Source organism: Homo sapiens, chromosome 20 (assembly GCF_000001405.40).
Source record: "Homo sapiens chromosome 20, GRCh38.p14 Primary Assembly".
Classification (NCBI taxonomy): Eukaryota; Metazoa; Chordata; class Mammalia; order Primates; family Hominidae; genus Homo; species Homo sapiens.
Genome location: NC_000020.11, coordinates 20,725,668 through 20,749,602, shown reverse-complemented (window position 1 = coordinate 20,749,602; position 23,935 = coordinate 20,725,668). Strand labels below are relative to the sequence as shown.

Sequence of the window (23,935 nt, the reverse complement as noted above, 5' to 3'; positions counted from 1 at the left end):
ACAAACCACCTCAAAACTTAGCATCTTAGAAACAACAATCATTTTATTTTCTTTCTAACTGTATAGGCTGACTTGGCTCACCTGGGTAGCTCTTTTGCATGTGATGTCAGGTGGGACTCTAGTCAACTGGGTGGGGCCTTGGCTGAGCTGAATGTCCACAGTGGAGAGCTTACATGGCTGGTGGTTGATGCTGGCTGTTAGTTGGGAACTAAGCTGGGACCATAGACTGAGTGCCTCCACTCTCTTCCACCTGGCCTCTCCATGTGGGTTGGGTTCCTTACAATATGGGACTGTGTTCCAAGAAGGAAATGTTACTGAAATACCAGGGGTTTGGCCTACGTCCTGCTGCTCACCACACAGAAAGCCAATCACTGAGACAATGAGTATTGCCAGGAAAGAAGGTTTAATTGGGTGCTGCAGCCAAGGAGATGGGAGATCAGTCCCACATCCATCTCCCCAACTGACTGTAATTAGAGGTTTATAGAGCAAGGAAGAAATGTAACAATGTATGGGAAAACAAGAACTAAGGAGGGTAGGGAAGAGGAGATGGTCAACAGGAAGCAGGTGGTCAGTTAGGCAATCGTGACAGGTGAGGGATCTGACATCTCATGGTCCAGAGGCAGTGATCTGGTGAGTTTCAGTTTCTTGATACTATCTGGGAGTCCTGGTGGTTGGTTTTCTGGAAAAGGAACTCAGATAAGACAAATGTAACTTTCTCAAATTTTAAGACTGGGAGGGCTAATTTCTGTTTATTCAAGAGAAACCATAAACTTCAATTCCATGGGACAAGTGGGTCAGTTTCAGAAGTAGAAGTGTCCAGGCCTTTTAAGGCTTGGGCTCAGAAGTTCCAGATCATCATTTTCTATCATATTCCTTTGGACAAAACAGTCACATCGCTAGCCCAGATGCTAGGAGAGGATAAATAAATGCCACCTTTCTATGGCAGAGTGACAGACATAAAGGTGAAAGCAGGAACTTAGAATGGCTGTCTTTGGAGACTATCTACCCATAGAGCTTGAGTAAACGCACAAAACATGCATGGCAAAGGCAAGACCTTTGCATTGGTCAGCCTGCCCAGGTCACTGGTCAGCCTGCCAGGTCATTCTCCTGGTTCTGCTACCGTCTCCTGCCTTTGTCTTCTTTCTATCTGGCCTTCCTTTGTATAAACTGAACTTCTAACTTCTGAACATCTTTCAAACTCAAGATGCCTGCATCTCTCCTAGAACTGAAAGCCTTTTGCCATGGTATTGCTTCCCAGGCAGGTCTTATCTCCTGCACTCTGAGCCCCACGGGACATCCTTGGTATAGTGGATTCTTTCTCAGGCCTGTGTTTAGGACCCTGATGTCCAATTTCCTCTGTGGAGCTTCATGGACTCCTAGTCGCAGCCTGCCCACATCAAATCTGACCTGTTTCTCCCAACGCCCTAGTTTTAACCTTGATAGAGCATGGATGGGAGTGGACAGATAGTCATAAAAGATCCCATAGATCTTAAGAAGTTAAACGTCTTTGACTGAGCAGAGGGCTAAGCAATGCCATACAACTAGGACTAAGAACAGGATGCTTGCAGAACAGAGAGGGTTGAGGGAAACTCAGCTTGGACGAGAGAAAAGGTGAGGACGGCTGGGAAAATTAGGTTTCAGGGCCAGGTGATAACAATCAATCAGTTTAGATCTGATGTGATATGAAGCTGTAAGCCACCGTGCACTCTTGAGCTGAGGTGTGGCTTGGTGAAATGATGTTTAAGCAAGATTCTTGCAGGAGTGGAATGTAGGGTAGAGTGGAGAAATTGAAACCAAGGAGGCCAATGGTAACTGGGTGCACAGGTGATGAGTGCTGGGATTAAAGGGGACTACAGTGGAAAAGATGTATATGAGACCATTTGAAGGGAAAAAAATCTATGGAGCAGTGATTTCTCCAATATGGGAAATTCAACTAAAGTTGGCCAGTGGGAAGTTGCTGTAGGCTCTGGGGAAGGGAGGGGCTGGGATGATGGACAGCAGAGTGCAGAAAGCAATGGACAGGGTAAGACTGGAGGGGAGGAAAGGTCTCTTAAACAGTACGGGCTTCCTTATCTAAGCTGCTGGATGCTAATGTGAAGACAGAATGACTCAGAGAAAAATTCAAAGGCAGAAGAGACAGGCTTTAATGAAAGTTTCAATTGAGAAGAAAAAGAGAAAGGCTAGGGTAGAAGTGACTCATCTGAATTTTGACAAATTGTGGAGCAAACAACAGAAAGATTGATATGGTAAGGAAAGGCTGGCTTGGGAAAGAAGCTGAATATCACATAGACTGAGTCTAAGGTGACACAGAGCACTCTGGTAGGAAAATCTGAAAGGGCCTAGAGGTGGGGTGAGAAGTTCGGCAAGGCAACATCAAAGTGTAAGTTCCTCGTTCAGAGTTGATGTCCTGTGCCAGTGTAGATGTGGTGCCTGTCTCTGTCCCCAGACCACCTTGTGTTTGCTTTTTGCTATCTTAAGAGTAAAATGGCAGGATAGGAAGGCACGTCACATAGGAATGGTACAGGGAGCCCTGAGATCTGCCTGTTGCCCTTATTCTTCTGAGTTCTCTAGTAAGCTCCCTAATGTATGCTTGATCTCCACCACTCAGCATGAACAGTGCTGGTCACTAGGTCTGAGAAAGCATGGTTACATTTCCCAGGTATCTTCCCAGTATGATTCACATCATTCAGCTTCAAATGAATTTGAAGCTGTGGATCCCAGACATCTGGCCCAGGTGGAGAGATAGTTGAAAGCCTCAAGAATCCCTTATGCACACCTCTTTTGGTAACCTGCTAGACCCTGAGCCCTGAAGTGGTCGTTCAGACTGGGTCATTCTCCTGCTCCTTTCCCATTCCCACAAGGTTGTCTCAGGAGGAATGAGGCCCTCCTCTCCTCCTCTTTCCTCTTTTTCTGACTTGGACATAGATACTGCTCCCAGTTTATCTTTTTTTTCCTGTGTAGTGGAATTTGGAGTCATCTCTCTCAGTTCCACTTCTCTCAATTAGCAGCTAGCATCTAAAAAACCTCCATCAACCTCAAGCTTTTAATCAAGTAGAAGGCTCCCTGCTTTTCTCCTTATCTGGTATCAGCATTTTTCTATCTGTTTTCTCTCCTCTCTCTCTCGTCAGTTCTTGCTATGTTGCTCAGGCTGACAGTGGCACGATCACAGCTCACTGCATCCTCAAACTCCTTGTCTTAAGCAGTCCTCTGACCTCAGCCTCCTGAGTAGCTGGACTACAGGCACGCACCACTGAAATGGTATGAGACTACTCACCTACCCCAGTGCCTACAACCTTTCATATTACCAAACTTATAAATGTTCATCCATCTCTTTCTACTACACTTTCTAAAACGTTTCATATGACAAAGTTTTATTTTAACATGGACAGTGTCTGTCCCCTGCCTGGGGGTGGGATGGAACATATATCCCAAGGGTACTTCTATGGATTTGTGTTCAAAGAGTCTTGAGTATTTTTTTTCCTATTAACTCTGTATGTGGAAGAATTCACTTAGCAGGGAAAAAGCCAAAAGCTTAAGCCTGGACCTTGGGGGATACCTGCCTTCAGTTCAGAGAGTAAAAATAAAAATGGGTGAAAGACAGAAAGAAGTGGTTAAAGCCATAAGAGAAAATCTAAGAAAAATTAAGAACCAAAGAAGCCATGGAAAGAACTGGCAAGAAGGAGTTTGGGGGGCAGGAGGTTTTGTGGGGAACAAGGAACAGCATATGATTCCTGAGCCCTTATGTGCTAGGTTGTATGCTAACTGCTTTGCATGCAAATTCCATTTAACCTTCATAGTTAACTTTACGAGTTATTAACATGCCCACAATTCTGAGACATGTTCTATATGGTTTCCCAGAGTCCTCCCGGGAGGAGTGGGGATGGCATTAAGTTCCAGGTGCTCACAGTAGCAATTTGCTTGATAATGTAAGCTCTAATGGCGTCTCCTTTCCCTGTTCGCTTCTTCATTCCCTACCACATTTTCCAGCATCACCTCTCAAATAAACTACTTGCACTCACATACTTGTGCCAGGGTCTCAGCTGCATCACTGTGGCTAGGGAGGGGAAGCCCTGAGGTAGTTTTCCCAGGCTCCTCATGGGTCCTCTGCCTCTCCGGCTCTGAGTCAAGGACTGCCCTGGGGCCTGCTAAGTGGGAAGGGGTGATACCTTAGCAGAGGCAGGAGTGGGTGCTCAGGCCAACGAGCTGCTGGAGGACTTGTCAGGGCTGGAGGGTCTGCAGTCAGGCAGAGCTAATGAGAGGCTGGTCAGTCACGGGAAGTCGGCTACCAATCCCTGTGGGCATGAGACAGACCATGAGTTCTCTAGCCACAGACGGTTGGCCAAAAGACCAGCAAGGTAGCTAGGATTCAGAGGCATAAGGGCCATCGCCCCAGGAGGAGGCTGAAGGACACCATCCCCAAGGATCCTGTCTTAGTCCATTTGTGTTGCTATAAAGGAATAGCTGAGCCTGGGTAATTTATAAAGAAAACAGAGGTTTATTTGGCTCACAGTTCTACAGGCTGGAAAAGAAGCATTGTGCTGGCATCAGCATCTCGTAAGGGCTTCAGGAGGCTTCCAATCATGGAGGAAGGGGAAGAGGAGCCAGTGTGTGTGGAGATCACATGAGGAAAGAGGGAGCAAGAGAGAGAGGTGGTGCCAGGCTCTTGTTAAGAACCAGCTCTTATGGGAACTAAAAGAGCAAAAATTTACTCATTACCTCAAAGAGGATACCAAGCTGCTCATGAGAGATCCACCCCCATGACCCAAACATCTCCCATTAGGCTCCACATCCAACACTGGGGATCAAATTTCAACATGAGATTTGGAGGGGTCAAATGTCCAAGCCATGGCAGACCCCATATTTTCTTCTCTGCCATATAAGCCATTGATCTCCCATCCAGCCAAAAGCCATCTTGCAAAACATTCTGGGAAAGATACAGAACACACAAAAATCTTAAAGACTGAGCATTGCCTCATAGGATGATTAAATGACTAGATGGCAGATTTAGAAGGTAATTGTTTCCTCTTGCTCGCAGGTGGGAGGAGGCTCAGGATCAAGGTCAAACAATAAAAGAGGCGCTCTTTTCTCTGCACAGCTGAGCTATTTGTGTGTGATTCCACTTGAACGGCCTATGAGGCTGAGCTTTGGGAATCTGTGCTGAGAACCAGTCATCCTAGGATTCAAAAATCCTGGAGAAATATTTTATGGCACCGCTGATGGGTAGAGACAGGAAACACACTTAATGTCTCCTGAACACGCTGGGATTTGACTTGGCCTCTGTTCAATCCTAGCACACTTTCAGGAGTGGCTCTTTGTTTGTTTTAAAGTACCTCTCCACCCATGAATTCTGGCCCTCCAGTAGCAGGATGTTATACAAATAGGCCAAGTTTTCCACAGGACTGTGGCTCTCCTTCCCTCCTTCCATGAGGGTATCAATATGCAGAAAAGGCCCTTGCTGTCTCCTCTGTTTTGTGTTCTGCTGGAGTGGCTCTTCCTGCAATCCGCTAAGACAGGAACTGGCTGCACTTAGCTCGAGTGGGCCCCTATCCAGCCCCTCTCAGCCGGGTCTGTGGTGGCCAGGGCCTCCCTGGCAAAGCTAACACACAACTACTATTGAGAAACAGCTGACAAGGGAAAGGGTGGCGTCTGAGCCTTGAAACTCAGGCTTCTGGCTAAATAACAACACATCGGATGACGGGGGTGAGCCAGGAGCACGACAGAGAAAACAGGAGGCCGCTTTAAGGAATTTACACAGTACCTTTGCATTGGCAGGAGTTTAATTATTCATTCACAGCCAGCCAGATCTCAAAGGCTCAGCTGACAAAGCTTCAGCCCTTCTCTGCAACCGTTAGAGGAAGCAGTCTGAGCCCTTTCGCTTGAGTAAACAGGCAGTGAGTACAGGCTACTATGTCCTGAACAATATCGGAGAACAGGGTTTCAGGCCATTTCCTTTACTGGCAGCGTGGTGACGCTCAAAATGTGAGGGCCAGAGGGTCTACAGTTAACATGGGGGGAGGAGACTGTAACCATAGCAGCAACAAGAACACTGATAGTCGGGATTATGCATTGAGCCCTTTCTATATGCCGAGCCACATTAGGCATTCTTCCTGCACCCAGAGCGAGCCTTTATCATTGTCCCCATGGTGCATTTCAGGAAACTTGGGCGAAGAGAAAGAATTTGCCCCAAATCCTAATCCTATAACTGCTAAGAGACTGAGCCAGAAGCCAAAATTAAAACGCACATCTACTCAGGAAACTGTTTTCTATCTATATTTTCTCTCTTTCTCTCTCTGAAACTTTCTTCAAAACCTTTGATGTTACAATTTTTAAAACTCAGACATATGGTTGACTGTTTTTCTCCCCTCAAAGGCCTAAAATCAAGTCCCTTCATTCATGACTATTCATGATTTTAATTTAAAAATAAAAGAATACTACAGAATACTGACTCAGAAAACTGGGTGTTTGTCATCTGCCATGAACCTGGTTTCCTGCTTGACACAAGGTAAGCAGAGTGAGTGGGTGGTAATTTTTCACCTTTATTTAAATAATTTTTTTTTCAGTAGAACCTTTGTGCAGTCCTACTTTCCCCCTACCTTGGCAAACAAACAGGTGACCTTCCTTTGAAATCTCTGAGATGCTGAATCTATCTTTACGGAACTTCTCCCCTTACCTCTCAACACTGATTCTTGCTCCAGTTCCGGAAATACAGCTGAGAAACAAGGACAAGGCAGAAAAGAGAGCTTCAGTCATCATGCCCCCACTCCCAACCAAGTCAACCAGGTCTTCAGAGAGGGTCTCTTGAGTGCATTTCCCGCCCCCCTGCCACAACATCCAAGACAAGGTTAATGAATGCTAAATTATCTCCTTTTTTTTTTTTTTTTTTTTTTTTGAGACGGAGTCTCGCCCTGTCACCCAGGCTGGAGTACAGTGGTGCAATCTCAGCTCACTGCAACCTCCGCCTCCCAGGTTCAGGCGATTCTCCTGCCTCAGTCTCCCGAGTAGCTGGGATTACAGGCACCTGCCACCACACCCACCTAATTTTGTATTTTTAGTAGAGATGGGGTTTCGCCATGTTGCCCAGGCTGGTCACAAACTCCTGGTGTCAAGTGATCCACCCACCTAGGCCTCCCAACGTGCTAGGATTACAGACGTGAGCCACCGCGCCCAGACTCCTTTTAAAACTAGTGAATCTGAATGATACTTCAGACCCTACGACTTGTACCAGTGATTTGGTTTCAATCCTGTCATATCTTACATGGCAATCACACTGCAAATATACGCACATTCCATACCAAGTGTTGAAAAAATATGGCAGCAGGTGACTGATGTGGATTTGTTTTCTGTTGCCCAGTATACACTAAGGCTTTCTGAGGGCTGGCCGTTTCACACATCTTATTTCCATGTGCCCATTATTACCACAGCCATAAGATCATCTCCCAAAAAGTGTTTCTGGAAAACTAAGTTGATCTAGCAAGGGATTACTAAAAGTGTTTGTGTATTTTAGAGAGCAGAAGCCTCTACTTGGTGGTTTCTGCTGGATTTTCCACTGTCCCAGGGTAAGAATAAAGACAACATGATTCTAAGGTATGCATTAGAAGGTGAATTTTTAATTCTAAACATCTTGGTTGGGCTTTTCTTCATAAATCAAGTTATGCATTGTGCCCTGTCACCTTTAAGTCTCCCCACTCCATGCCAAACTCTATTTGCACTAATTGTTTTGACACAGTGCCCAGAGTGCCGGGATTGAGCTCCTACAATGTTGCCTCTAATCCCACAGGCTTTTGAGATCCTGTGCTTTGGTCCCATTTATACGAGGACGCTCCAAGATCATCACCCTCCCTCGCTTCCTTCTAAATCCACCCTGCATTTGTCACCCACCAGTGAGGCCTCCAAGGACAATGGGAGATGCTTTGATAACAGCACCCACAATTCACATTTCCAAAGCACCTCTGAAGTTCTGGGTCACATGCCAAGTGCTTCAGAGGAACGTTGATTTAATTCTCCCAGCAGCTCTGTGCTGCATGTGTCTGCCTCCACAGCAGGTAACAAGTGGCACTCAAAGAGGCCGGTGAAGGACATTCACAGACATGAGGGTAGGGCTAAGGGACGGTGAAGCTCCCAGGAAATAGCAACAGCCTGAAGGAGCGAGGGAAGAGATAGTCTAGTGAGAGCTGGAGTCAGAGAAGAGGAGCCATTTGCCAAGAACACGGCTGTAAAGGAACACAGCTACATGCAGAGGCTGGGCTGGAAGGTGGTGTGCACAGATAGAGCTGGGAGGGAGAAAGGCATCCATATCCCTGACCTCGCTTTTGTGCCACCTTCCAATCTCACTGGAGCAGCTCCTATTGGCCACACCCAACTGGCAGGCAGGGGAGCCTGGGGGATTCTGACAGGAGAGGTCAGTCTCCTGGGCACAGAACAGGACAGAGAAAGGCAGAAAGTGGACTCAGGGAAAGCAAGTGGAGAAATACCAGCATAATATAGCTTCTCTTTTCCTCACCATGTAAAATGCCCATGTAAAAGATGAGGCAGCTGAACTCAGAGGGTTTCAGTATCTGCCCAAGTTCATAAGTGGCAAAGCTCCAGATTCAGATCCAGGCTTTGTGATTCTGGAGCCCATTGTCGAAAGCACTCTGAATGTGATCTTCCTGGTCCTGCCCTGTCCCCTATATCATACCCAGGTGATTTGAACTTTGCATGTTGTCCAAATTTATTATTTTCCTGTGACAAGCAGTTTGGAGCCCAGAGTCTCTTTCTCAGGCCAGCTTTCTGTCCTGAAAAGTAATTTCAGCATATTGCCACACATTGTAGGTTACTCTGAAACTGTCAAACCACAGACTGGATTTGGGTTTCATCCAACACAGTGTAACATGCTACACTTAACTGTTGTCTTCCCGGGAGGACACTGCACGTAAAATTCCCTCTCCCAATCCAGGTCACGCTAGGTTCCATACCACAATCACCTCTCAATACCCCAAAGCCCTGTACATTAAGTAGCAGCTTGGGAACTGTTTATGACTTCTGCTAAGCCAATGCTCTGACTGGGCCGGAGCTTCACTGTCAAAGGCAGGAGAAGCACAGAGGGAATTATGCAAACAAAAAAGAGTTCGTATATAACTTTTAACTTATTCCTGCCAAATCTTGCTCTTGGATTTGAAAGCATATAATTGTTCTGTCTGATAACTTACACTGCCAGGACAATCCTAGTGCCATTTTATGTCAATGTTTCAAGAGACTTGCTTCTTTGTGTAAACCACAGGAAACTTGGAAATATGTCACACAGCTTTTTTGTGGCAAATATACTTTTAAAAAAGTTCAATAAGTTTATGGGGAGCAGGTGGTGTTTGGTTACATGAATAAGTTCTTCAGAAGTGATTTCTGAGATTTTGGTGCACCCATCACCCGAGCAGTGTACACTGTACCCAATGTGTAGTCTTTTATCCTTCACCCCCCTCCCACCCTTTACCCTGCGTCTCCAAAGTCCATTGTATCACTCTTATGCCTTTGCGTCCTCATAGCTTAGCTCCCACTTATGAGTGAGAACATACGATGTTTGGTTTCTCCATTCCTGAGTTACTTCACTTAGAATAATAGTCTCCAATTCCATCCAGGTTGCATTATTTCCTTCGTTTTTATGGCCAAGTAGTATTTTCTTTGTTCATTTGTTGATTGATGGGCATTTGGGCTGGTTCCATATTTTTGCAATTGCAAATTGTGCTGCTATAAACATGAGTGTGCAAGTATCTTTTTCATATAATGACTTCTTTTCCTCTGGGTAGATACCCAGGAGTGGAATTGCTGGATCAAATGGTAGTTCTAATTTTAGTTCTTTAAGGAATCTCCACAGTGTTTTTCACAGTGGTTGTACTAGTTTATTACATTCCCACCAACAGTGTAAAAGTGTGCCCTTTTCACCAAGTCTACACCAACATCTATTTTTTTAAAATTTTTTGATTATGGCCATTCTTGCAAGAGTAAGGTGGTGTCACATTGTAGTTTGGATTTGCATTTTCCTGATCATTAGTGATGTTGAGCATTTTTCCATATGCTTGTTGGCCATTTGTATCTTCTTTTGAGAATTGTCTATTCATATACTTAGCCCACATTTGGATGGGATTGTTTGTTTTTTTCTTGCTGATTTGTTTGAGTTCTTTGTAGATTCTGGGCATTAGTCCTTTGTTGGATGTATAGATTGTGAAGATTTCCTCCCACTCTGTAGGTTGTCTGTTAACTCTGCTGATTATTTCTTTTGCTGTGCAGAAGCTTTTTAGTTTAATTAAGTCCCATCTATTTATCTTTGTTTTTGTTGCATTTGCTTTTGGGTTCTTGGTCATGAAGTCTTTGCCTAAGCCAATGTCTAGAAGGGTTTTTCTGATGTTATCTTCTAGAATTTTTATGGTTTTAGGTCTTAGATTTAAGTCTTTGCTCCATCTTGAGTTGATTTTTGTATAAGTTGAGAGATGAGGCAAATCTGATGTTTGACTTTAATTTAGACCAAATGTCTACATTTTGAAGACATTTTAATTTTACCAATAATCTTTAAAACTGTCTTTATTTCCAGGTTACTAAAGTCATGTGAATAAGAGGCATTAAAGTTTCTATTTTTCTGACAAAATATGATATAAGCGCTTATTTTTTCTAAGCCAATTAGAGCTCTTTTATATATAAATATCACACACACAACACATAAATAGACAGACAGACAGACAGACAGAAGATCCAGTAGTTGTAAGGTTTTTCATTTGCCAGTTTCTTAATTGGATTACTGGCTTCAGGGTGGAGCCTTTGTAGGAAAAGGGCCAGGAAAGCACACAGCTTCTAGGGCCTAATAAGAAGGCTTTGTGGCAAATACACTTTTAAAACCTAACTCTGCCAAGTGCACTGGTGCATACCTATAGTCCCAGCTACTCAAGACGCTGAGACAGGAGGATCGCTTGAGCCCAGGAATTCTGGGCTATAGTGCAATATGTTGATCGGGTGTCTGCACTAAGTGTGGCATTGATATGGTGACCTCCTGGGAGTGTGGGACCATCAGGTTGCCTAAGGAGGAGTGAACTGGCCCAGGTCAGATATGGAACAGGAAAAAACTCATGTGCTGATCAGGAGTGGGATTGCATCTGTGAAGAGCCACTGCACTCCAGCCTGGGCAACATAGAGAGATCCTGCCTCTTAAAAAAAAAAAAAAAAAAAAAAGACAAAACCTGGCTCTTTGGTGTGGAACATTTTGAGTGACAACATAAATAATGATGACAATGGATCAAAACCCATAAAATAAAATAAATTCCTATGAGTCCATACTGATACAAATAAATAATTGAATAAATAAATAAACGGGAGAGGGAAGGCAACAGAATCCCAATTAATAAATGTAGAAGGAATGATGCAATTGGAAAACTATCATTTAGCAAGACACATAGTAATAATTGTTCTAGACCAGAAACATCCATGGGAAAGCCGGGTGCAGTGGCTCACACCTGGAATCCCAGCACTTTGGGAGGCAGAGGTAAGGGGGAGTGCTTCAGCCCGGGAATTCAAGACCAGCCTGGGAAGCATAGCAAGACCCCATCTCTACAAAAAATAAAAATAAAAAATTAACCAGGTGTAGTGGCACACGCCTGTGGTCCTAGCTACTTGGGAGGCTGAGATAGGAGGATCACTTGAGCCTGGGAGGTTGAGGCTACAGTGAGCCATGATTATGCCACTACACTCCTGCCTGGGGACAGAGTGAGACCCTGTCTCAAAAACAATAAAAATAGAAACAAATAAGCTGACTCTTTCACTAAATACCATCTCCCTATACATTTAAGACATGATTTGATATAAGTGGATTTGCATAACTTAAATTCTGTTGCACTTCTGATACATTTCTGTTTGTCTATTCTCTACATGATCAGTCTCTTCATTTCAATTTGCTATATGAAAGCAGATTTTCAAACTATTCACATGGTAACATCTTGAAGTCTCGCTCGCTTTCCGATTCTCTAACACTTTCAGATAGGACCCTGCATTATTTTTTCCTTCTCATACCTCTCTCATCCTTCTCAATCAAAATAGTTGAATGGGTTAGTCAATGGGTGGATTAATAAAGCTACAGAATCACTCTCCAAGAGTACATAATACATGATGTACCCGAGGGAGAAAACCAGGGGGGCAGGTCACAGGGGAAGCACTCTCAAGTAGCCTGAAGTAACAGATGCTACATGTCTCCCCCAGCATCCACTGCAGACAGTCCCCTACAGTGCCACCCACAGCTTCCTGAAATAGCTTCCGGCACCTTTGTGCCCAAGGGCATTTTCTGGCATGGAAGGTGATTACCCAGCATGGGGCAGTTTGTAAGTGCCAGGAAGTTGGATTTAATGCACAGGGCACAAACTTCAGCCACTGAGGGAAGGAATTGGTGGATAAATATCCCAGCTTCCCTGCCCCTCAGGAGGGCAATAATGAGTTGTGTTCCACACAGTTCCTTGAGGGTCTCCAGTGGGATAGAGCTCCTGTTGCCCACGGGACAACCTGCTCACTGACACATCTTATGTAGGGCTTCCCTGGTCAGTTTCCCATTCTTCACTGTGCTTCCTGCAATCATCTTCCAAATCAATTACTTGCATCTGAATCTCTCTCAGGGTCTGTCTTTGGGGAGAATCCCAGATAAGACACACTGGGAAAAGGGGGGTCGTCCAATTGCACATGAACAAACACCTTAGGCTCTCTCTGTCTCTGATGGAATGGGCCACTTCTAATCCCACGTTTTCTCTCATATGTCATAGCCCTCTGGGGACAGGCCACAGCATTTGATCTTGCCTACCTCCCCACTCCCTAAATTTTAGAAACAAGAGTTTGATTCTCTCTAAGACCCTGGTCCAGCCTAGCTAAGCTGTCATAGGGACACACAGCTTAGATCCTTGATAGGCGCTCATGGTAGTAAACCCACTTGAGGGAGAACTAAAGAGCCACCCCGGACAGCCTTAGTGCCGGTGAACTCCTTAACTCCCCTAGAAAAAGAGTGAATGCGGCATAACCATATGGTGCTCCTGTAGTTTAGGATGATCTGGTTATGCTTGATCAGCATATACTACAGGGGCACTTATTAAGGAGGTGGAGACACTAATTACCCTGTTGGAAGTTAGTCATGACACCTCCTGTCAGCAGGTGTTAATATGAATCTTAGTGTCCACCTAACTTCTCTATTAAGCTGATTGAAAGTTTCATTTTCTTTACGGACCTGTACAGGCTTGAAAAGGAAGATATTTTAACAAAGAACTCAAAGATCTAGGACGGTAGTAAGTTACCAAGCTTTACCCTTATACTTATTTTGTTTTTTAAAAGAGAATTCTATTTAAGTTCTCATATGTTTTACCTTAAATGATTTTTTTCCTAGTTATCAAAAGTAATACATGCTCATGTAGTGATTCCACAGCCTTGAAAATAAATAAAAATCATTGCCTGCATAAAATCCAGGTATATATTTTGGGGTTGTGTTTTCTTTCCTCTGCATTATGTAGAATTATAGATGCATTCATGTGCTGATGAAGTTGTAAAATCTGTATCATATTGTACATACAATTTTCTCTTCTTTCTTTTTAAATCTAACATTATGATATTAACATTTCCCTTGTCTTGATAAGAGTCATAAATAATTTTAGTGGCTGCATGCATGATATTCCAAAGAATGAATATTCTATAATCTTATTTTCTTATTACACACTTAAGTTAGTTATAATTTTTGATATCATTAAGCAGTGCTGTGATATCTGCATATAAATAATGTTGTGATGAAATATGCATATATTTCAATTTTTTCAAATTTTAAAAAATTTAAAAATACTTCCTTAGGATAGTTCCTACATAGAAAATTATAGGGACAATGGATACAGATTTATTTGAATTTCTTATTAGAAAGGCTGTTCCAATTTATATTTGGATTAGTATTATATCAGCATCTCATTCAACTATTAATTTTAAAGCCCTTTGCTAATTTGATGGGAAAAAATAGTATCCCAATTTTGTTTAATTTGTAATTCATTGCTGGTTAGATTTATTCTGTATTTCTTCCATCAATTTTTTTTGTTTATATCCTTTGCCTATTTTAAAATTATTTATTTATCTATTTTTAATTGACAAAAAAGTGTGTAAATTTTGGGGTACGTGTGATGTTTTGATCTACGTGTACATTGTTGGAAAGATTCACTCAAGCTAATTAATATATCCATTACCTCAACAACTTAGCATTTTTTTGTGCATGGAGAGGTCATTAAAAACCTATTCTTTTAGCAATTTTAAACTATACATTTTTATTAACTGTGGTCACCATGTAGTACAATAGATCACTAAAACCTTTGCCCATTTTTCTATTAGAAATTTGGTGATTTTCTTATCAAGATGTTTAAGGTCGATATACACTAGAAATAGACACATGTGGTCTATCACATCTACTGCAAATATTTTTCTCGTTTGTCGTCAGACTGTAACTTACTGTGCTTTTAAACAAAGTTGCCCACATGTATTTCTAGTTTTAAAAAAAGATTTGTTTTTACATTTCATTCCTTACCATCTCCAGAATTTATTTTGCTATAAATGGTTTACTTCTATTTTTCTAATAAGTTACTGTAGGTTTAACAACCATTTAGTTACATATTTCAGGCAAAAAGCACTAGAACTTTTCTTTTTGAAACTAGTAGCTGAAGTTGCACTTTGTCCAAAGCCAAAAAGAACCCGCAGATGCCCTTTGTTACCTTAGAAGTGTTGATTCAGATTTTGGAAAGTGAATGATCAAAAAGTGTTGCAGGAAGCTTCAGTGTTTCCAAAGCATTAGCATTAAGGAGAGTGGAAAGGCCTGTTTGTGTCTCTGGGTAAGTAGAGATGACTTAGGGCTTTGGTCTGGGGATTTTCTGTGAGTGCATGAAAACCCTTAAGCAGGGTGGCATTCAAACGCCACTTCCTCTGCATGCTTTCCATAGGTCTGCGGTCACAATTCTGCCAAGAGGTTAGTGAATGGAGGAAGCCCTTTTATCAGGCAATTTTCTAACACAAAAGTGTTTGCCCTTCCTGAAATGAAGTGATGATATACTTGTGTAAAAGAGGAAGCAGCAGGCAGGGTAACTGAATGTTTGTCACTCCTCTCTGGCAGGTTTTAGATGCTTCAGCAAGAAGATACAATTAAAAACATTTCTCACACAAAAATCTCCCCAGCCCACCAACTTGGAGGTAGCCGGTATCAGAAAATGTGTTTTCTTGGCATTCAGTACAGCCAATGGCGGCATTTAAGTAGTTTGTGAAGAGCCAGATTTGACCTGTCATTTGTTCTCCTATTGCAGAGGCCTTTTGCGGCTTTTTGCTCCCCACCAGTCATTCACTGTATTTTGTGACAGTCCCCAATTCTCCTTTAGGGACATCTTGTCCCCTACCCACTCACAAGTGTCTTGGTCTTTCTCCATCACCTGCCACAGTGATTGGCAGGGGCCCAGTGAAGGTCAACCCAGTTTTCTTGTTTGAGCCCCTGAACTGCCTGGCCATCCTGCCATAGGAAGAGCCCAGGGGTGAGTCAGCTACAGAAAGGCCCAGTAGGAGCTCAGCCTTGCACCCTAAAGTCAACTCCCTTCCTGGACATCTCAGTTGCATGAATTAATACATTCCCTTTTCTCTCTTACAGCAGCTTAAGTTGGCCTTCTTCAGGGTTACATTTTTTTTTAAGTCTTTTTTTTCTTTTCTGATATGTAGTCTCACTCTGTCACCCAGGCTGGAGTACAGTGGCATGATCTCGGCTCACTGAAACCTCTTTCTCTTGGGTTCAAGTGATATTCTGCCTCGGCCTCCTGAGTAGCTGGGATTGCAAGTGCACGCCACCATGCCCAGATAATTTTTTTGTATTTTTTTAGTAGAGACGGGGTTTTGCCATGCTGGCCAGACTGGTCTTGAACTCCTGACCACAGGTGATCCGCCTGCCTTGGCCTCCCAAAGCACTGGGATTACAGGCATGAGCCACTGTAATCCTATAAAAGTCTTAACTGATAGAGTTACTCTGTTTTACTCCACATACACACTAGCAATTTTACTCCCTCCTTGCAATGAAAGGTATTGCTTTATAAAGGTATTGCTTTATCTCATTGTTTTACCCTTGGATTATTGAGAATAGGCTTTTTTTTTGTTTTGAGACAGGGTCTTGCTCTGTTGCCCAGGCTGGAGTGCAGTGGTGCAACACAGCTCACTGCAGCCTTGACCTCCCAGGTTCAAGCAATCCTATGACCTCAGCCTCCTGAGGAGCTGGGACTACAGGCATGCATCACCATGTCTGGCTACTTTTTTTACTTTTTGTAGAGATGAGGTCTCGCTATGTTCCCTAGGCTAGTCTCAAACTCCTGGGCTTGAGCAATCCTCCTGCCTTGGCCTCCCAAAGTGCTAGAATTACAGGTATCAGCCGCCGCACCTGGCTGAGAATGGACTTTGTAATAACTTTCCCTATGCAGGCCCATTTGAGATGAACGGGAGATGCCAGAAGTGCCCTTGTACTGATGCCCCCACCACCAAGCACTTTCCAGACCCAGGCTCAGCTTCATCTCCACCCCTGGGATCTCCAGGTTTAATACTTTAGGGAAACTTCACTTTGCTGGCACTCAGAGTCGGACTTGGAACAATTCTGCAGGTCAGCCCTTGCACAGCCATGAGAGTGAGTTACCTACTTCTCTTCAAATCTGGCGCCCTAGGTGCCTGGCTTGCCTTGCTCAAAGCCAGACCCTGGCCCTCCCGGAGGGGAACCAATTTTCTTTTTGTAGCCCCACACTGGGGTTTTGCCCTGGGATTTCACCTCTCACTGGGGTTTCATAGCAGAAGGTTTGATCCTCTGCCAAGAATCACAGTCAGTCATGTCAGAACCTGGTGATTTGCTAGAGAAAAAGTATCATTTGAATTTAGATTCTGAAAGCATCCACGCTGGTGGCTCCTCACCTATCTTTTCTTATTGTTTTGCTCTGAAGCAGAAGAACCAGGATCGTTTCTAATTCCAAGCCACTCAAAAACAGCTGATAATTTTTGTCTTTTCTCTTTTCTGGAAGAATATGGATGTATTTTGCCTCCTTCTTCTAACTTATTTGATCTTCTGATGGCCTTTATCTCTGCATGAGGAGCAGAGCCTTTCTGTATATAAATCCATGAAAACTGTAACAGTAATTCACACATATGATGGGCTTTATGAATTTTAGCTATTAGTATTTTTTACATATTATTTCTACTGAGTAAAGACAGACTGTTGATTACTATTGATAGAAGTACCTGAGGTTCTCATATATATTTTAAAACACTCTGAGATTTCTAAAGTAGAGGGAACATCAAAAGAGAAAATTTTTTATGATTCAGGGTATCACCTCTAAATAGCAGCAGTTGTTACGGCCTTGATTAGGTAATCAGTGCCTGCACAACCGCTGAATCATAGCCCTCTTTCTTCTTAATGGAAACTCACATGGTCATTGTGTTCACTTTCTATTTTTGAAATATACCTTCATGGGTGGAATTTTTGGTGAGGAAGTGAGGGAAAACTAGGGCTATCTAATTCAGAAATCTTGTGTGCAATCACATCAATCTGGTGAAAATAATTTTTTTTTGCTCTAAGTCAACTGATTGGAGGTGAGAAAGGAATAATGGTCATTTTATCTAATTTCCAGCAAGAATAATAAAGAGATAAAAAGGAATCAAATAAGCCAAATTAATCTGCCATTATTTTAATCAAGAAGACAGAGCAAGCCAGATCCTGAGTCACCTTCCTCCCAACTATTTTTATTGACTTGAAATAACAAAGGATGGAAGCCTGAAATGACCCAGATCAGTTTTCTTGGTTTTAGTGCCCAGTGGATAAAGCATATCCTGGAATTCTCCGAGGTGGGGACTGTTTATATAAGTCACTTTTCTGAAAATGGATTTTTTTTAAAGCTGGGGAGAAAGAAAAAAACCTAAAGTCAGAGAAAAACTTTCTGTTGGCCACAGATTAAACAACACTTTTTAAAAATTGATGGTTTTGCTAACTTTGCAGAAAACGAATTCGGTATTTCTTTAGTATGTGCTTCTTGGAGGCATCAGTCACTCCAGCATGCTTGAGAAAAACTCTTAACAAGTAAAAACAGTAAAGCAGAGCCAGAAAAGGGTTGTATCTGGGCCGATTCAAAGCCAGAGTGTATTCAGGCATTTTTAAATTATGAACAACGCATTTTGGACATACAAAGAAGGACAGAAATGATGAAATCAACACCCATCAAACAATTACATTCTCTCAAGGACCCACTAATGGCCCTCCTCACCATCGGAGGTGACCACTATGGTGGATTTGGTGTTTTCCACTCAGCAAGCCCACTCCCACGTCCCTCTGCATATGTGTCCTGGGGCTAGGCACAGACAGCATGAACTGCAATCGTGAGATATTAGAACAGCCTGGCCGGGTGCGGTGATTCACTCCTGTAATCCCAGCACTTTGGGAGGCCAAGGTGGGTGGATCACTTGAGGTCAGGAGTTTGAGATCAGCCTGGCCAACATGGTGAAGCCCTGTCTCTACTAAAATATAAAAATTAGCCGGTTATGGTGGAACACACCTGTAATTCCAGCTACTTGGGAGGCTGAGGCAAGAGAATTGCTTGAACCTGGGAGGCAGAGGTTGCAGTGAGCCGAGATCGTGCCACTGCACTCCAGCCTGGGCAACAGAGCAAAACTCTGTTTAAAGAAAAAAAAAAAGCTCACTCAACAAGTCCATTTTCAAAGTTGGTTTTTACAAGATATTTTCTATGGTAGATTGATTAATTGATTAATTAATGGTCTTCTTTTTTTATGGAGACAAGGTCTTGTTTCATCACCCAGGCTGGATGATGCAGTGGCATGATCATAGCTCACTGCAGCCTCAACTCCTGAGCCCAAGTGATCCTCCCACCTCAGCCTCCTTCATAGCTGAGACCACAGGTGTGCATCACTACACTCAGCTAAGGCCACCCTAGATCAGCCAATAGCTACTGAACTCCTAGATAGATAAGTGATCTCAGTCAAGACCAGCCAAGCCCAACCCAGATCAGATGAACCCCATAGACTCATGAGCTGAATAAATGTGTGTTGGTGTATGCCAATGAAGTTCTGTGGCTGCGTTTTAGTGGCACAGAGAGCGGACACGCCCTCTTCCCAACTGTTCTGGAGACTCCATCCATGTTCCTACCTCCCTGCCAGCTGCAAGTAATTAGTAATAACTTGAGTTATCTCAAATAACTCAAGTTTTTTGAGACAGAGTCTTGCTGTGTCATCAAGGCTGGAATGGAGTGGTACAATCATGCCTCATAGGATCTCGCTCTGCAGCCCAGGCTGTTCTCAAATTCCTGGCCTCTAGCGATCTTCCTGCCTTGGACTCCCAAAGTGCTAGGATTATAGGTGTGAGCCCTAGTGTCCAGCCCCAAATGAACTTTTTTTTTTTTAAGACAGGGTCTCACTCTTTCGCCCAGGCTGGAGTGCAGTGGTGTGATCTCCACTCACTGCAGCCTCTGCCCCCAGGTCCAAGCAATTCTCATGCCTCAGCCTCCTGAGTAGTTGGGATTACAGGTGTGCGCCACCACACCTGGCTAGTGTTTTTTGTATTTTTAGTAGAGACACAGTTGAGCTTTTATACAGCTTGACTGCACTGAAAAATCAGAGGTTTGTTTAATCCAATATAGTAAAATCATATGCCCCAACTTTTTTTTAAAGCTTCATCTAGGAACTGAAGACCAACTGATACCTAGGACTCTGCATTTAGAGCTAGAAGCTACATGAAAATTCATCCAGGCCAGAAAACTTACAGTTTAGATGGCTTCAAGTCTCTAAAGCTAATTAATAACCAGGCTAGGTCAAAAGCTCAGGTGTCTCCTAGGACAATGTTCGACTAACCATATTATTTGCTGGCCTGAAAATTTCAGTGGAAGCTCAATATTTGGTGAAAGCGGGAAAATTAGTGAGCTAATTTTTTATAATGATGGTTCTCAATGAATCACACTTACCAATATTCATGTCCTTGGATTGTTCCCCGCTCCTTGAATCTGGGCTGGTTCTGTGACCTTCTTTAACCAATAGATCATGGAGGAAGTGACAGGGTGCCAGTTCAATTCTAAGCCTTACAAAGGCCTGGCAGCTTTCATTTTTGTATTTTAGAAGAAGCCAGCCACCATGTAAGAAGTTTGAATATCCAGAGACTGCCTCCCTGTGAGAAGTCCAATCTAGCCATGTGGAGAGGCCAAGCAGAAAGGAAGTGAGGCCACTGGTTAACAGCCCCAGCTGAGCTTCAAGCCAACAGTCAACACCAGCTTGCCAGCCATGTTAGTGAGGCCATCTTGCAAGTCCATTCTTCAGCCCCAGTCAAACATCAGCCATGTAAACCTGAGATGAACTGTCCCAGACAAGCCTTGCAAATTGCAGGATTGTGAGCAAATAAACAAAATGTTTTTTTCAGCCACTAAGATTGGAGATAGTTTGTTACATAGCAATAAGTAGTTGAAACACAGAGGGTATCAGCTTGTGGCCTCAGGCATCTGAAATGAAAACAAAAAACAAAACAAACAAAACAAAAAACCAAAACACTGATCTCCTTAGACTCATCTCCTGTATCCGGTAACTTATCTCTAACATCCTTCCAATTCTAAAATTCTTTAAGCCTGTGACTCCTTGGCTCATTCCTTTTAATATCATACTAGCCTTGTGTCTACATGATCAAATGATTTTAGTTTACAGAAGCTGACTGGCCTGACAGGGATTGCTTTTCCCACCAACGAGCAGGAATGCAGCTGGCAAAGGGGAGGAAGAATGGTCTTCCAGAGGTAGAGGCAGAGAGTAGAAGAAGCCCCAATAGTTGAAGTGCTGGCAGCAAGGAAAGAAAACCCAAAGTTTGTCTCCATGGAGGATAGTGAGGGTATGTATAGAGTAGTAAACAGAATATCCACAGGAAAAGCACCAGGCATGCTTGAAACAGGCAGGTCAGAAATTGACTTGAGAAATAGACTTCTGATTCATCTAGTCGAACAAAAAGCACTTAAAAATATACTGGGCCAAACTCGTTAACATAGTGAGACCCCATGCCTACAAAAAAGAAAAATAAAAAAGTAGCCAGGTATAGTGGCACACCTGTAGTCCCAGCTAGGAGGGAGGCTAAGGTGGGAGGATCACTTGAACCCAGAAATTCGAAGTTGCGGTCAGCTATGATCACACCACTATACTCCATCCTGGGTGACAGAGTGAGACCCCATCTCTAAAAACAAACAAAAAACCCCTTTTTAAAAGAAATTCAACTGATTGAAGCATAAAAAAAGGGTAATGGGACATCAGATCATGTCAAGTCTTGTTGGTCATTGTAAGGACTTTGGCTTTTTAATTTTTTTTAGTTGACACATAATAATTGTGCATATTTATGGGGTACATAGTGATGTTTCAATACATATATTTATAGTTATCAGATCAGAGTAATTAGCATATCCGTCATCTTAAACATTTATTATTTCTTTGTGTTGGGAACATTCAATATCCTCCTTCTAGCTATTTGGAACTATCTAATGTATTATTGTTAACTATAGTCATCGTACAGCACCATAGAACATGAGAATTTATCCCTGCTATCTAGCTGTAATTTCGTATCCTTCAGCAAATCTCTTCCTATCCCCCTCTTCCCTCTGTCCTTCCAGCCTCCAATATCCTCTGTTCTACTTTTTACTTCTATGAGATCTTTTTTTTAGCTTCCACATATGAGTGAGAACATACGGTGTTTAACTTTCTGTGCCCAACTTATTTCACTTCACATCATGTCCCCCAGTTCCATCCCTGTGGCCATGAATGCCTGGAGTTCATTCTTTCTATGGCTAAATCGTATTCTATTGTGCATAAATATCACATTTTCTTTATCCAGTCGTCTTCTTCAGGAGCCTTTCCTACTCTCTCTGAACTGGTCTATCTTGACTTCCAGCTTCCAGAGGACAAACTGAGGCATGTATTTACTTCCTTCCTGCTTTTCCAAGTGCCGTTCTGGTTTGTCTTTTTACCTGCCTTGTGTGAGCTGGATGACCTTGTGCCAGCCATACAACTTTTCTGAGTGTTGGTGAAATAAGTGCATGGAACTGCTTTACAAAACGGCATTCAGATGTGATGGCATTTTCCAGCCATCCTAATGAGGCCAGAAGCATCATGGCAAAGCCAGGCAAGTGGTTTCCTCCCTAGTTCTGGGAACAACCAGTCACTAACCAGCTTTGGTTACTTTTTCTCTTTACAATGGAGGACTACATCTGTCAGTTGCATTCCACTCTCGAAACCTTCTATGATTCCAGAATGTTCTTGCTAATACTCTTGACAATTATGTAAAATCATTTAACCTAGGCTGTATCATGGCCAGTGTTGGCATGGGGTAGGGTAGAATTACACAGGCAAAGCAAATGAGGGGCTTTCCTTTTTTCTTTTTTTAAGAGACATGTTCTCACTTTGTTGTCCAGGCTGGAGTAGAGTGGCATGATTATAGCTCACTGCAGCTTTCAATTCCTGGGCTCAAGTGATCCTCCTGCCTCAGCCTTCCAAAGTGTTGGGATTACAGGTGAGAGCCACCAGGCCCGGCCTTGGCCAGCTTTCTTCACATTTATGGTCCAGAAAGAAGGGGATATTTCACCTCATATAATGGGGCATCAGTGAAAGTGCCCCTCCTTGCCAAAGAGTGCACATAACAAAAGTGGAGAATCAAGGGTTCTGGGACGTTGCCTTGACTTGTTCTGATGGTGTCCAGTATGAGCTATGCAGAACCACGGGAAACCACAGGTGTGTAAATCCTTCACATTCAACACATTTAAAAATCAAGTGAGCACACAAATGAGCAATCTTAGCAAACAGAAATGGCCTTGTTCTAATTTTCTGGAGAGTAGGAAAAAAAACCCTATGTATTGAACATTTTTGTGCCACTTATTGTGTTCAATTCTTTTTATGCTCATTTACTCCTTAGATAGAATAAATAGCCCAACGCAGGTTTATCTCCATTTTATAGGTGAGGAAAACTGAGTCTTGGAGAGTCTTGGAGAATTCAGTCACCCATTGAACACTGCACAGCTAGTAATGGGAAAAGACTGGGAATTGGAGCCTTTAGGTCTGCTGTCATCCTATCCTGCCTTCCACACATTCCAGGGAAGTTCACTTGTCTCCCCATTTTGGCATCATTGCCTTTTATGATCATTTGGCCCTGCTGTTCTTTCTGTTTTCACAGGGCTACAAGAACACATACACATTTCCGTAACCCCTGTAGTACGTGGAATACAGCCACAAGCACAAACCTGGGTGATAACCACACAAAACCAATCTGCTTCTGGTGAGCCTCACAGAGCCCATTGCATCTCACCTCCTTGCCTTGACCTTGGGTGCATTCAGCTCCTTTCCCCAATTCAGGTGTCATCTCCACCAGGAAGCCTTCTCTGAGCTCCCCTCTTATTCCCACTGCCCAGTTCTCCCTGGTCTCTCCTATACTGCCAAGTACATGTCGCTATTGTTAATTACTATTATTTAGTTAGGTGTCTGTCTCCTACACTGGCCTGTGAGTTCTCTGAGGTCAGGGCTGTGAATGTCTCCTCTATTAGACTGTGGTGTCTCTGGGGCTTGGGGCCGTATTCTTATGATCTTTATAACTTCATTGCCATGCATGAAACTAGCACAGGGTAGGGACTCAAGACTACTGACTGGATCAAAAAGATTGCCAAGAAGGACAATAAAAAGTGATAAATATTAGGGTGGCTTATAAAGGGAAAGCTCAATTCAGAGAAAAGAAGAAAAATAAGAACAGACAAAGAAGAATAATATAAAGAGAAAGGTTCCTGAAGGGCAGTGTTTTGAAGATGTCAAGGGAATGTCTTAGTGATGCTCTGTGACATATGAATTCGTAAATTCTTAAAAATATGATCCACATCTTTCCAATTATTTACTATGATGAGTCTAA

At 43.0% G+C, this 23,935-nt stretch overlaps 1 long non-coding RNA gene and 1 pseudogene across 2 annotated transcripts, besides 2 other annotated features; one reads left to right on the top strand and one right to left on the bottom strand.

Annotated features, from left to right (window-relative positions):
* Positions 1 to 386: 386 nt before the first annotated feature.
* Positions 387 to 20,343, bottom strand: LOC105372555 (uncharacterized). Of its 2 annotated transcripts, XR_937312.3 has the most exons (4): positions 19,989 to 20,343; positions 6,671 to 6,709; positions 4,167 to 4,292; positions 387 to 679 (listed from the first exon to the last, which is right to left on the bottom strand). It is a non-coding gene; the product is annotated as an uncharacterized LOC105372555 (long non-coding RNA). The 2 variants fall into 2 exon arrangements; XR_937311.3 differs by lacking the exons at positions 6,671 to 6,709; positions 19,989 to 20,343 and adding an exon at positions 5,759 to 5,957.
* Positions 5,037 to 5,743: an enhancer, noted in NCBI's record as "H3K27ac hESC enhancer chr20:20724503-20725209 (GRCh37/hg19 assembly coordinates)". NCBI's record gives its function as "activates a minimal SCP1, AML or CMV promoter by ChIP-STARR-seq in naive H9 embryonic stem cells {active_cell/tissue: H9 hESC(naive)}" and the evidence as "EXISTENCE:reporter gene assay evidence [ECO:0000049][PMID:30033119]".
* Positions 5,744 to 6,450: an enhancer, noted in NCBI's record as "H3K27ac hESC enhancer chr20:20723796-20724502 (GRCh37/hg19 assembly coordinates)". NCBI's record gives its function as "activates a minimal SCP1, AML or CMV promoter by ChIP-STARR-seq in naive H9 embryonic stem cells {active_cell/tissue: H9 hESC(naive)}" and the evidence as "EXISTENCE:reporter gene assay evidence [ECO:0000049][PMID:30033119]".
* Positions 10,872 to 11,170, top strand: RN7SL607P (RNA, 7SL, cytoplasmic 607, pseudogene; annotated as a pseudogene).
* Positions 20,344 to 23,935: the final 3,592 nt, after the last annotated feature.